Here is a 15,099-nt window from a genome sequence, read left to right as displayed (position 1 = left end):
GTCATAAAAATGTGGCTAAAACCACCTGTGCTTGGCTGCTTTTGAGGGTGTAAGGACTTCATAAAATATGTAAATCAAGTGTCCTGTGGCAAAGGAACGTTGCCTGTTGCTGTAATTATCCACAGCCTGGTTCTGGGACAGTCTTCAGTAGTTTCCAGTTCTGTAGCTTTCACAAATAGAGACAGAAAACTGCTGATCCACTGGGTGTGGCCGCTGAGCTTTGAATAACTGTCAGTGCTAAAGAGGGCTGAGGCAGGACCAGAGAGTTGAGATGAGATGGGAGGGCGGAGGTCAGGTGGCGGAGGCCCAGCGGGTGGAGGGTGGGCGTTGGGGTGGGGGGACTGTGGTGAGAGAGGGAAAGTTGGGAAGGTAAGACGCTGACAAGAGGAGTTCCAGGTGCCAGCAGGCTCTAGGGTGCCACCTTAAAAATGAGATTGCTGAAATAATGTGCCTTGTGCTGTGTTTTAAAATGCAGGGGCCAAGAGGCCATTTTAGAAGGACTTCTATTTAAAAGTTTAAATGCCCATCTCATAAAGGTTTCACCTTCAGCTATTCAGGAAATTCTTCCCTATAAAATGACTCATTTATTCCCCAAGGATTCCACATGGCCATGGTATTTTTTTCCTGGGCCAACCACAAAGACATCAGTTCCTGGAAGATTGTTCCCATTTTGCCGTGAACTATCCTGTGGAAGGTTGTTTTTTTTTTTTTTTTTGAGATGTCGTTTCGCTCTGTTGCCCAGGCTGGAGTGCAATGGCGCCATCTCGGCTCACCGCAACCTCCGCCTCCCGGGTTCAAGTGATTCTCCTGCCTCAGCCTCCCGAGTAGCTGGGATTACAGGCATACACCACCATACACAGCTACTCTTCATATTTTTAGTAGAGATGGGGTTTCAGTATGCTGGCCAGGCTGGTTATGGAGGTAATATTTTTGAATTCTCAATTATGGAGAATTTAAAATCCTTTTTAGGAATTACTTCTAAAATCCTTAGGCTTGGCCCTTCTCTAACTATTGACTCTGACAAATGGAAATGTTTTATGATCTCTAGATTGATTAAATTTAGATTTCTTCTTAATTTACTTAAAAAGGCAACTTGGGCCGGGCGCAGTGGCTCACGCCTGTAATCCCAGCACTTTGGGAGGCCGAGGTGGGCAGATCACAAGGTCAAGAGATCGAGACCATCCTGGGCAACATGGTGAAACCCCATCTGTACTAAAAATACAAAAATTAGCTGGGTGTGGTGGCACATGCCTGTCATCCCAGCTACTTGGGAGGCTGGGGCAGGAGAATCACTTGAACCTGGGAGGTGGAGGTTGCAGTGAGCTGAGATGGTGCCATTGCATTCCAGCTTGGTGACAGGGTGAGACTCTGTCTCAAAAAAAAAAAAAAAAAAAAAGGGGAATTTGGCCGGGCGTGGTGGCCCACGCCTGTAATCCCAACACTTTGGGAGGCCGAGGCGGGCGGATCACGAGGTCAGGAGATTGAGACCATCCTGGCTAACACAGTGAAACCCTGTCTCTACTAAAATACAAAAAAAAAAAAAAAAAAAAAATTAGCCAGGCCTGGTGGCAGGCGCCTGTAGTCGCAGCTACTCGGGAGGCTGAGGCAGGAGAATGGCGTGAACCCGGGAGGCGGAGCTTGCAGTGAGCCGAGATCGGCCACTGCACTCCAGCCTGGGTGACAGAGCGAGACTCTGAGACGCCATCTCAAAAATAAAAAGGCTACTTGAAGTCCCACTCTACCACATGACAGCCACCTCGTCTCCAGGATACCTGAGACCACTTTATCTCTGGGTCCTAGGGGTCTTTTGTTCTTTTTCCTGGATCTCAGCAGTTGATTCCACCATCCTTATCTGTCTGCTTTCCAAAACTCACGGCTTGCTCTCCTTCTCTTCTGTCACAATCTGCTCAAGAAAGGTATTTTTCCCTCTTTAATCATTTTTGTAAAGATATCACAAAATTAAAAATTTTAATCAATTATTTCATACAACCCAAAAGCTGTTTGAAAGTGAAAAGTGAAGGTCACCCCAGCCGCCCCCTGCTACTATCAAGTCACGCCAACTGGGCCTGATGTCCACACTGCCTCTTGGGGAGCTCCCCCAGGCTGAAGGCTTCCAATTTTGTCTGTGGATCAGGGTCTCCAGTCCATCTCCTGGTGCTCTCATCCTCCCTTCCTGTGGACATGGTCATGAAAGTCTCTCATCTCAGATGCAGCGTGTCTCCGGATCTGGTTTTTGTTTGTTTGTTTATTTTTGAGACATGGTTTCACTCTGTCACCCAGGCTGGAGTGCAGTGGTGTGATCTTGGCTCACTGCAACCTCTGCCTCCCCAGTTCAAGCGAGTCTCGTGCCTCAGCCTCCCGAGTAGCTGGGATTACAGGCGTGTGCCACCACGCCCAGCTCTTTTTTTTTTTTTTTTCTTTGAGACGGAGTTTTGCTCTTGTTGCCCAGGCTGGAGTGCAATGGTGCGATCTCAGCTCACCACTACCTCCGCCTCCTGGGTTCAAGCGATTCTCCTGCCTCAGCCTCCCGAATAGCTATGCCCAGCTAATTTTTGTATTATTAGTAGAGATAAGGTTTCACCATGTAGACAAGGCTGGCCTTGAACTCCTGACCTCAGGTGATCCGCCCGCCTCCGCCTCCCAAAGTGCTGGGATTACAGGTGTGAGCCACCATGTCTGGCCAAGAGTTGTTGGTGGTACACACGTCTAAAGCCACTATGGACAGACCCTAAATGACCTGTAAGAGGGATTTCCTATATGTCGTCTTGGGAAAGATATTTGACCTCTGTGTGTCTCAGTTTCTTCATCTGTGACATGCAGGAGATTAGGGGACCATGATGCCTTAAGGCTCTTTTGTTTTGACTATTCTACGCATCTGGCCTCCTTCTCAATGAATATTTCTGGGCTTTTTCCTGCTCCTGTCATTTTCTGCCCAGCAGAGGGGCTTGTGTGGAGGTGTGGAGGTCAGGAGAGGGGCATTCATCTCTGGGCTGGCTGGCTGTGTGCCTCTCCATCACTGGGCCCTTCTGGACTTTAGTTTTCTCTTCTGAGAAATGAGGGGCCAGGGCTGTGTGAGCTCCAGGAGAGTGTCTGGTCCTGACATCCCATGATTTTCATGACTTCCTCGTCCCCAGGGATGACCCTCTGATGCTGAAGGAACAGTCAGCTTAGGGTAAGTGATGGCTGCTTTCAGTGTAGACTGAAGGTTTTGGGCAGGGGAGAGGCTGGAGAAGCAGGATCCATTTCCAGTGCCCTGAGTCAGTTCCCTGTGGTCTGATTTGATTTTTTCATGTGAAGTGTTGTGAAATCTCAAAATATCACCCATGTCCACATTCAACTGTGAGTACATTTGTGGTGCATTCCACTACCAAGTATGAGTGCTTTGGGGACCCTCTTACCTGTGAGCTTGGGAACCCCTGCTCCTTGCCCTTGTGTGGGGAGTTTGGAGAGGTGCTGGGGTGACCAGCCATCCCAGTTTGCCCTGTAAACTGTCCTGCTTTTAGCACCCCAAGAGGCTCATCCCAGGAAATCCCTCAGTCCAAACCAAGACAGGTGGCAATCCTACCTAGTTCCACACCAGGGCCTGGCCAGCTTTCTTAGTGGGACAGGCCACAGTTAAACATAGAATCCAGCAGAGCAGTGGACTTTGAAACAGCTGGGGTACTTGGGGCAAATTCCTAGGTCCCACCCTAGAGTGTCTGATTCAGTAAATCTGGAGCAGGGACCAGGAATTCACATTGAATAAGCCCTCCAGGTGAGTCTGGTGCAGGTGGTTCAGGATCTACACCTTGAGGAAACAGAACCAGCTCCTGTCCTTGGGAGCAGTGGAGGAAACAGAGCTAGCTCCTGTCCACAAGAGGTTTATAACACAGGCAGAAGAAGCCAGGTAGGGAACTAATGAACCCTGACACAGAGTGAAATGAAAGCTATAATGAGTACTGGCCAATTTTTCTGCCCTCCTCCCACCCTCCAAAGTAATTTAGTACTTACAAAGCTTGGCTTTGTTGATTATAAGGGGTGACTTGGCATTTTCCAGCAGAAGAGTTGTAGGGAGGGTGAGTTAGTTGCAGAAAGTGACTGTCCACTCCAGCTTACACCAGACTCTCCCGTCTCAGAACCGTGGTGCACTCTGTACTGTATCCTGTGGCCCCTCTGGTGAGGGGATCAAGTGGGACCGTCCCTAAGGCCCACTGAAGCTCTGACCTTCTGACGTGGGGATGAAGAAGTGGTCCTGTTCTTATTCTTGGTGGACAGCTATCAGTTCTGTTGCTTATGAACTAAGTATTTTCTTTCTCTCTTTTTAAAAAAATTTCAGCTTTTCAGGCCCAGTGCAGTGGCTCACGCCTATAATCCCAGCACTTTGGGAGGCCAAGGCGGGTGGATCATGAGGTCAGGAGTTTGAGACCAGCCTGGTCAACATGGTGAAACCCTGTCTCTACTAAAAATACAAAAAAAAAAATTAGACAGGCATGTTGCCGGGCACCTGTAATCCCAGCTACTCGGGAGGCTGAGGCAGGAGAATCGCTGGAAACCGGGAGGTGGAGGTTGCAGTGAGCTGAGATCGCGCCACTGCGCTCCAGCCTGCGCAACAAGAGTAAGACTCCATCTCAAAAAAAAAAAAAAAAAAAAAATTCAGCTTCTCTTTTAGATACAGAGGTACATGCGTAGGATTGTCACATGGGTATATTGGACCCAAGTGGTGAGCATAGTACCACCAGTAGGTAGTTTTCGGCCCATGTCCCCATTCCTCCCTCCTCTCTCTGGTGGTGACAGTATCTCTTGTTCCCATGTTTATGTCTATGTGTGCTCAGCATTTAGCTCCCACTTATAAGTGAGAAATGTGGTATTTGGCTTTCTGTTTTCATGTTAATTTGCTGAACTAAGCCTTTTCGTTCCTTTTTTTTTGTTTTTGAGATGGAGTCTTGCTCTGTCACCCAGACTGGAGTGTGGTGGCTTGATCTTGGCTCACTGCAACCTCCGCCTCTGGGTTCAAGCTATTCCCCTGCCTCAGCCTCCTGAGTAGCTGGGATTACAGGCTTGTGGCACCATGCCCAGCTAATTTTCATATTTTGTTTTGTCTTTTTTTTTTTTTGAAAAGGAGTCTCGGTCTGTCACCCAGGCTGGAGTGCAGTGGCAACATCTCGACTCACTTCAACCTCTGCCTCCCGGGTTCAAGCGATTCTCCTGCCTCAGCCTTCCGAGTAGCTGGGACTACAGGTGTGTGCCACCACGCCTGGCTAATTTTTTTGTACTTTTAGCAGAGATGGGGTTTTACCATGTTAGCCAGGATAGTCTTGATCTCCTGACCTCATGATCCACCTGCCTCAGCCTCCCAAAGTGCCGGGATTACACCGTGCCCGGCATACTTTTTGTATTTTTAGTAGAGGGTATTCTTTTGTATATTTAGTAGAAGATTTCGCCATGTTGGCTAGGCTAGTCTTGAACTCCTGACCTCAGGTGATCCTCCCGCCTCGGCCTCCCAAAGTGCTGGGATTACAGGCATAAGCCACCGTGCCCATCCTGAACTAAGACTTTTCTAAGGTGAATCAATGAGCTAGAGTCCTTAGGGCACTTCATTACTGAGATGATTTGAAGAGTTCCTGAGGTCAGGTGACTGCAGGTAAAGGGCTTGTTTGTTCCCTGGGCTCATTCCTGCTGACAAAGGACAAAGAGCTGGAGGCATCCCTAGGAGAAGAAAGGAAAGGAATGATGACTCTCTGAACCACCTGCTCCAGACTCAGCCGTAGGCGGTGGCAGGGGTGGGGCTTATAAGTGTGAAATCCTAGTCTCTGATCCAGATCTACTAAGTGATCTACAGGCCTTCAGAGGAGGCAGGGCTCTGCTGTGGGACATGAAGTTGATGGGCTCGTGGGGTGACATGCCACCACTGAGATTCTAGGGAGACCAGCCTTGAATGGCAGCCTGGAGCTATGGGGCCAAGCCTCACACCTGGCCAGGGAGTGTCCACCAGGGTCAAACTGGTCTGAGAGCCAACCCAGCCAACTGGGTTGAAATCTCAGTCATGTATCTGCTGGGTGCTCTTGGGCAAGTTATTAACCTCTCTGAGTGTCAGTTTCCCCCTTTGTAAAATGGGGTAATAATGTTCCCTATGTTGTCAGTAGATTGAATGAAATAAGCGTGCAAACTGCCTAAAGCATAAAGACCGCCTAGCACAGTGCTTGACCTGTACTAAGGTTAACCTTTATTATCATTATCAGCCACAGAAAGTGGCAAAGGCCAATGATGAGGGCTGTATTTTTTGCTCAGGCTGCTGTAACATAAATAATACAGTCTGAGTGGCTTCAACAACATATACTTATTTTGTCACCATTCTGGAGGCTGGAAGTCCAAGATCAAGGTGTCTGCAGGGTTAGCTTCCCGAGAGGCCTCTCTCGGCTTGCAGATGCTGTCTTTTCCCTGCGTCCTCACATGCTTTTGCCTCTGTGCTTGTGTACCCCTGGTGTCTCTTTGTGTGTCTGACTTTCCTCTTTTGTTTTTTTTGGAGACAGTTTCGCTCTTGTTGCCCAGCCTGGAGTGCAGTGGCGTGATCTTGGCTCACTGCAACTTACGCCTCCCAGGTTCAAGTGATTCTCCTGCCTCAGCCTCTCAAGTAGCTGGGATTACAGGCACCCGCCACCACAGCTAGTTAATTTTGTATAGTTTTTTTTTTTTTGGGGGGATGGAGATTTGCTCGTTACCCAGGCTGGAGTGCAATGGTGCGATCTTGGCTCACTGCAACCTCCGCCTCCCAGGTTCAAGCGATTCTCCTGCCTCAGCCTCCCTAGTAGCTGGGATTACAAGTGCCCGCCACCATGCCCAGCTAATTTTTCTTTTGAGATGGAGTTTCGCTCTTGTTGCCCAGGTTGGAGTGCAATGGCGCCATCTCAGCTCACCGCAACTTCCACCTCCCAGGTTCAAGTGATTCTCCTGCCTCAGCCTCCTGAGTAGCTGGGATTATAGGCATGCGCCACCACTCCTGGCTAATTTTGTATTTTTAGTAGAGACAGGGTTTCTCCATGTTGGCCAGGCTGGTCTCAAACTGCCGACCTCAGGAGATCCGCCCGCCTTGACCTCCCAATGTGCTGGGATTACAGGCGTGAGCCACCACGCCCGGCCACATTTCTTAAGGAATGTGGCTTGGGAGGAATAAAATGAAAGGCAAAATGGGGGAGCCAGCACTGCGCTGCCAGTCAGCCCAGCCTTCATGGGATCAGGAGACTCTCTTAAGGGGGCCAATTCCTTTAAGTGTCCTGAAGCCATTTCAGGCCTTCTAGCGGAGCTAGTTGGTGCATTTCCTTAAGAAATGTGGCCGGGTGCGGTGGCTCATGCCTGTAATCCCAGCACTTTGGGAGGCTGAGGCAGGTGGATCACCTGAGGTCAGGAGTTGGACACCAGCCTGACCAATGTGGCAAAACCCTGTCTCTACTAAAAATACAAAAATTAGTCAAGCATGGTGGCGTACGTCTGTAATCCCAACTACTGGGGAGGCTAAGGCAGGAGAATCGCTTGAACCCACGGGGCGGAGGTTGCAGTGAATGAGCTGAGATTATGCCACTTCACTCCAGCCTGGGCAAAAGAGCAAAACTCCATCTCAAAAAAAAAAAAAAAATAAATAAATAAAAAGAAATGCAAATCTGAGCCTTCAGTGGAGATCACTTAAGGAAGGTGTGGGTTCTCAACTTCTTGGAGCCGTTTGAGGAGGGGCTGGAGCAGACATGGGGGCAGGCATTTCAGTTCCCTGCATATCCCATGACGAGTGTGGGGAGATCACTCATTAAATGCCTCTCACTCCTTTCTCCCTCTTCTTCCTCTTCTCCTCCCCCTCCCACTCTTCTCCCCATCGCCCTGGCAGATCTATCCCTGTGAACCCTGAAAGGCTGGGGGTTTCTGGGCTTGACATCTCCTTACCCCATAATTTTGGCTAAAGGAGCGGGTCCCCAGGGTGGCATCCTGCGAAAATATTGCTGGAATGAGGGTCAGAAGTTCCAGCTCTCATTATGAAACATTTCAGTTCCTTCACCTTCTTATTCACATTTTGTGTTGTTATTTAGATTGGTTTTTCATAACTTCTTGAAGATGGGAGGGATTCTTAGTTCTTTTCTTTTCTTTTCTTTTTTTTTTTTTTTTGAGATGGAGTCTCGCTCTGTCGCCCAAGCTGGAGTTCAGTGGCAGGATCTCGGCTCACTGCAAGCTCCGCCTCCCGGGTTCACGCCATTCTCCTGCCTCGGCCTCCCGGGTAGCTGGGACTACAGGCGCCCGCCACCACGCCCGGCTAATTTTTTGTATTTTCAGTAGAGACCGGGTTTCACCATGTTAGCCAGGATGGTCTAGATCTCCTGACCTCGTGATCCGCCCGCCTCCGCCTCCCAAAGTGCTGGGATTATAGGCATGAGCCACCGTACCCAGCCAATTTTCTTTCTTTTTTTTTTTTTTGAGACAGAGATTCGCTCTGTTGCCCAGGCTGCAGTGCAGTGGCGCCATCTCGGCTCACTGCAACCTCCGCCTCCCGGGTTCAACAGATTCTCCTGCCTCAGCCTCCAGAGTAGCTGGGATTACAGGCACATGCCACCATGCCTGGCTAATTTTTGTATTTTTAGTAGAGACGGGGTTTCACCATGTTGGTCAGGCTGTTCCTTGTGATCCGCCTGCCTCGACCTCCCAAAGTGCTGGAATTACAGGCGTGAGCCACCGCGCCCGGCCAGATGGGAAGGATTCTTTTCAAATTCTTGGGCAGCTTTGGGAAGTAATTTAGAATTTCTGACTGTGCACACGGCAGCATGTGTTGACACAATCCTCTTGTTGAGATGTGTTCCTAGAACATAGCCCGCTAAATTCAGACCTAGAATTCAAACTCTACCTTTGACTTCCAGAGGCTCCTCAAGTCACCCACCCCTTTTGGTGGACTGAGACAGCCTTGAATGCTCTTGCAGCTCTTACAGACACCAGACTGGAGCCTTCTTGCAAGGCAGTGGTGCAGTGCCAAGTTCAGGTCCTGGGTTCGAATCCTGGTTCTGCTGTTGACTAGCTGGGTCTCCTGGGGTGTTTCTAAGCCTCAGTTTCCTTATCTCTGAGTTGTCATGTTCCTGACACACAGTAAGTACCCAATAAATTATAGCTAAATTATTATTCTTATTATTGTTACCACTCATTTGACTTCCACAATCCAAATGGGGCTGAATGTCATGGTTTCTCCTTGAACCAGGATGAGGTGGAAGAGATTACCCTTGAGCTGAAGTCGTCATCAGGGAAGCTGATGACGAGTTAGGCAAGAGCAGTAATGATTAGCTTTAAGGCATTGATGATGAAAGATCAGTCTGCATTGTGGGATAAAGCAGACACATTCCTTCCGACGTGCCATGGAGGTGATGGTGTCCATTCCTCCGTTAATGAAGTATATAGATGGGGGTGGGGTTTGGAGGTGGGATGCTCCTGGGACATACGACTTTGTTTTGGGCAGCAGATGGGTGTAGGGTGGTCATATTATTCTTGCAAAATTTGCTGAAACACCTTTTTTGTTGAAACAGAGTCTCGCTCTGTTGCCCACTGGAGTGCAGTGGCTTGATCTTGGTTTACTGCAACTTCCACCTCCTGGGTTCAAGCGATTCTTGTGCCTTAGCTTCTTAAGTGGCTGGGACTACAGGTGCGTGCCACCACGACTGGCTAATTTTTTAATTTTTAGTAAAGAGAAGGTTTCACCGTGTTGGCCAGGCTGGTCTCCAACTCCTGACCTCAAGTGATCTGCCCGCCTTGGCCTCCCAAAGTGTTGGGATTACAGGTGCGGTAAGCCACCGCGCCCGGCCTGAAACACCTTTTACCATCTCACCTGTCCCATTGTGTGAGCCCAGGAAGAGCTCAGACTCAGGGTGCAGAGGTTGCTGAAGATGCCTGCTGTCATCAATCTGGGTCATCCCTAAGCATGAGAAGACTTAGATAAAGGCCAAGATAAAAATATGGCATGAACATGAAGGCTTGAATGAGGCCGTCCCTGGGTGACTGCTCTGACAACTCCTTCCTATTCTGCCTCCAATCACCCATCCGTCCACACAACCAATAATAGCAGCTCGTAAGAAACCACAGGAATCCAACAGACCTCTCAGCCCTTGACCTGTGGAATCACAGCATAGACCCTCTCTGCAGACAATGCAATGGAATAGGCTGAGTAGCACGAGTTCCAGAGCGGGACGGCCTGCATCCAGTTCTGGCTTTCTCACTGACTGGGTGCACTTCCTTAGCCTCAGTTTCCCTCTTGCTGCAAATGGAGATAGTAAGCCATGTACATCACAGTATTTCTATAAGGATAACATGAGATTACAAATGTAAACTGCCTGACATAAAGGAAGTACTTAACAAATGTATCTGTTATTGTCATTACTCTCTTTGGGGTGGGATTTGTGCCCTGCCAGGCAGGCTTCTTAAGATTAGTTTGCAGGCTGGGTGCGGTGGCTCACGCCTGTAATCCCAGCACTTTGGGAGGCCGAGGCAGGTGGATCACGAGGTCAGGAGATCGAGACCATCCTGGCTAACACGGTGAAACCCAGTTTCTACTAAAAAAAAAAATACAAAAATTAGCCAGGCTTGGTGGCGGGTGCCTGTAATCCCAGATACTCGGGAGGCTGAGGCAGGAGAATGGCGTGAACCTGGGAGGCGGAGCTTGCAGTGAGGCGAGATCCTGCCACTGAACTCCAGCTTGGGTGACAGAGCAAGACTCTGTCCAAAAAAAAAAAAAAAAAATTAGTTTGCTAGTTGTTACGAGCTCTGAAGTGCCATCTATCCTATGAGATTAATTTTTTTTTTTTTTTTTTTGAGACGGAGTCTCGCTCTGTCACCCAGGCTGGAGTGCAATGGTGCAATCTCAGCTAAGTGCAACCTCCACCTTCTGGTTCAAGCAATTCTCCTGCCTCAGCCTCCTGAGTAGCTGGGATTACAGGCTCACGCCACTATGCCTGGATGATTTTTGTATTTCTAGTAGAGACGGGGTTTTATCATGTTGTCCAGGCTGGTCTTGAACTCCTGACCTCAAGTTATCTGCCCGCCTTGGCCTCCCAAAATGCTGGGATTACAGACATGAGCCATCGCGCCTGGCCAATTTTTTTTTTAGATGGAAGATTTTTTATCTTTGAGATAATCCTATTAAGCAACCATTTCAAACAATTACTGGCAGCCATCCTGCCAGGCTGTCAGCTGGGAAGGGCCTAGAGTGGACATAGGGCGAGTGTCTGAGAATGAGGAGGGTCCTGGATGGGAAGCGGGGCTGGAGGAGGGCCTTTCTCTGACCCGACATTTTGCTCTGGTCTTGGGTTCCTAAACACATTATGTTGTTGGTTTTCTTTAAACTGAAGTCTTGTTACAAGGATTGCTTTGAAGCCAGGAGGCGGAAGTTGCAGTGAGCTGAGATTGTACCACTGCACTCTAGCCTGAGTGACAGACTGAGACTCGGTATCAAAAAAAAAAAAAAAGATTCCAGGAAGAACCAACATCTGAGCCTGCCCCCTGCCTAGCTTTGGGTCAGTGACATCATCTCCATGTACCAAAGATGGGTCTCCGTCTCATCTCTTCTCCTCCCGCCTTGGCCTCCCAAAGTGCCGCGATTACAGGCGTGAGCCACCACGTCCAGCCTCTTCCTGGAATCTTGAACTGAGCTTGCCACCCACCTTCTCTGCTCGTTAAAAATGTAACAACCTTTTAATATTTCTGCCATCAGCACCTATTGTCTGGTGCTGTGCTAGATGCCCAGAACGCAAAGGCGAGAGAGGCGTCCCAGTCTGAAAGTCCAATGGGCCTAGGGCTATTGGCTGTTGACTGCTCTGCTGATGACTTCCTCTCTCTGGTGGAGAAGCTCAAGGAGGGTATTGCAGGCAAGGGAGACGGTGGGAGCAGAGGCTTGGAGGTCTGACGGTGCATGGCACTTGCAGGAAATGGTGAGGGACACGGCACAGCTGGAGCTGTAGTTTGCATGGGCTGGCTGATGGTGAAGTCTTATGTCTGGGGGCAGGGAGCTGCTGGAGATTTTTAAATTTTAAATTCTCTATTATTTATTTTAAAATAGAGGCCAAGGGTGGTGGCTCACACCTTTAATCCCAGTACTTTGGGGGGCCAAGGCAGTTGGATCATCTGAGGTCAGGAGCTTGAGACCAGCCTGGCCAACATGGTGAAACCCTATCTCTACTAAAAATACAAATAAATAAACAACAACAACAACAACAAATACAAAAAAAATAGCCGGGCGTGGTGGTGGGTGCCTGTAATCTCAGCTACTTGGGAGGCTGAGGCAGGAGAATTGCTTGAACCCAGGAGGCAGAGGTTGCCGTGTGCCGTGAGATCACACCATTGCACTGCAGCCTGGATGACAAGAGTGAAACTCTGTCTCAATAAAATAAATAAAGTAAATAAATAAAATAAATAAAATAAAATAAAATAATAAAATAAAATAAAATAAAACAAAAGAAAACAAAATAAAATAAAAAACAGGGTCTCGCTATGCTGCCCAGGCTGGTCTTGAACTCCTGGGCCCAAGCGATCCACCTACCTCAGCCTCCCAAAGCACTGGGATTACAGATGTGAACCACTGCGCTCTGCCTCCACTGGAGATTTTCACGCAGGAAAAAGACACGAGTTGACTTTTGTTTTAATCATAATCATATTCACAGCAATTATACCTTTCAGTATTGAGCATTTTCTTTGTGCTAGGCATCAGCTAAGATACTTTATCGTGAGTCAACTCATTGAATCCCACATTACAGATGAGGCTAGGAGAGTTCACCAAGCCCAGTCACATAGTGGAGCCGGGACGAACCACCACATTGGAAGAGTTCAATAAACGTTAGTCATTGTTATTTTTGCCAGTATTTGTTTTCACGAGCGTCCCCTGGCATGCCAGGTGTTGGGTGGTAGCTTTAGCTTTGAAACTGCCTGGGTTGGTGCCAGTGAGCTGGACTAATAAAGCCATTTCATCAGACTAGGGTGAAGAATAGGGTGCACTACCAGCCTCTGCCCCTGCTCTCCCCGGTTGCTGTGGTTATAAGCTGGGCACCTGGTTCTCTCTTGGTCGCTGGCCCCTCTCCAGCTCAGGCCTGGGTGACCCTGATCCCGCCTGGTGTTGCCCCACAGCTGGCTCTCTGAGGTTGCCTCCTGCCTCCCTCTCTGGTTTCAGCTTTTCTACAGCTGAGCAGGGGGCAGACCCCACAGGTGGCAGGGTGCAGGTGAGCTGGAGAGACCAAGGCCAGGTAGTTATGAAAAGTCTCCAGGGGAGGCAAGGTGAAGGCTGGAAGGGCCCCAGCCAGGGAACGGAAGGAGAGAGCATAGCTGTCAGAAATACACTGGATTTAGACTTGATAGCCTGTGGCAAACTCACACCATGAGAAGAGAGAGCAAGAAGTGAAAAATAAACGCTACTTGTAGCTCAAATGACCTGATGGCTCTGCGTGGTGAGCCTTACCCATTCCCAGAACTTTATTATTATTATTATTATCTTTGAGACAGAGTCTCGCTCTGTCACCCAGGCTGGAGTGCAGTGGCGCAGTCTCGGCTCACTTCAGCCTCTGCCTCCGGGGTTCACACCATTCTCCTGCCTCAGCCTCCCGAGTAGCTGAGACTACATGTGCCCACCACCACGCCTGGCTAATTTTTGTATTTTTAATAGAAATGGGGTTTCACTGTGTTAGCCAGGATGGTCTCTATCTCCTGACCTTGTGATCCGCCCACCTCGGCCTCCCAAAGTGCTGGGATTATAGGCGTGAGCCACTGTGCCCGGCCTTCCCAGAACTTTAAATACCATCTGTAGGTTGACAATTCCCAACTCCTTGGGCTCCAGCCTTGAACACTGAGCTGCCCCTTTCTTCTTCACTTGGATGTCTCTCAAGCATTTCAAGCTCAGCATTTCCCAAATGGAACTCAAAGTGGAGCTCCAAAATGATTTGCCTCCCCCACCCCTGAACCTGCTTCTCCATCTCAACAAATAGTATCAGCCCGCCTGCCTTCAAACTAGAAAACTTGAGTGTTATCCTCAATGCCTCCCTCTTCCTCAGCCCTCACATCCCCTTGTCAGCAAGTCCTATAATTTCCACATTGGAAAGACATCACAAAGGTGGCCACCTCTCTCCATCTCTACCGCCACCACTGCAGGTAGTGTGGCGAGTCACCACCATCTCACCTGGACGGCTGTGAGTCCGCATGGTCCATGATCTTTCCTCTTCCATCCAGCTCCACATTTCAGCCACAGGGATCTTTTAGTAACACACATTTGATTGTGAATCCTCATATCCGATGACTTCCAGCCACACTCAGCATAACAACCACCATCTTCCTGTGGCTTACAAGGTTCTACGCCAGATCCCAGCTTCACCTGATGTCCCCTCTCCTCATCACTCTTGTCCCTCTAGCCTCACTGGCTTCCTTTTGGTCCCCACACGCCATGTCTTTCCTTCCTCAGGTCTTCATCCAGGGTTCACCATCGTCGCCACTGTTGGGAATGCTCGTCCTTGCCTTTGCGTGGCTGGCTCCTTCCCATTCTTCAAACTTCAAGCTAAATGTCCCCTCTCAGGTCACTGCCCACGACCTGAGAGGGCTCCACAGGCCCTCTCAGCATCCTCTTTAGCCAGTCATTTCATTCAGAGCATACACTGATCACAACTTGGAATTTTTTAGTTGTTCATCTTATTTATTGTTTCTCTCCCCCACTAGAGTGTCAACTCTACCATACCTATTGGAACATAGAAGGTGCTGACAGGTATTCACTGAGTTGACAAACAGGTAGATGATGAGGGCATGAACTTCAGAGGTCCACGGGGGCAGAGGGCCAGGAGAACACTGAGATTCAAGAGGTGGGCAGAGGGGCTGTCAAGCGGACTTGATAAGGAGGGACAGAGGGAGGAGGCAGTAACCGAGGGAGGAGGGCTATGTCAGCTTGGGAGGCTTTTCACTGTGGGTAACAGCAAAGTTGTCCAGGTGATTAGATGAAAGGGTTGATTTTTCTCACAGTCTGGGTGTTCAGCAGCAAAGCTCTGTGTCAGTGTCACCGAGGCCCTCTTGCCTTTCTCCTAGCCTTGGGCATTACATCCTCACATGATGCGTTCAAAGGCAGGAGATAGCAACAGCGTGGAA

At 49.1% G+C, this 15,099-nt stretch overlaps 1 protein-coding gene across 1 annotated transcript in view; it reads left to right on the top strand.

Annotated features, from left to right (window-relative positions):
• Positions 1-15,099, top strand: part of AHNAK (AHNAK nucleoprotein) — a 113,263-nt gene that overhangs the window by 84,267 nt on the left and 13,897 nt on the right. The window lies entirely within an intron of this gene.

This window comes from Homo sapiens, chromosome 11 (genome assembly GCF_000001405.40).
Source record: "Homo sapiens chromosome 11, GRCh38.p14 Primary Assembly".
Lineage (NCBI taxonomy): Eukaryota > Metazoa > Chordata > Mammalia > Primates > Hominidae > Homo > Homo sapiens.
This window is presented reverse-complemented; position numbering and strand designations above follow the sequence as displayed.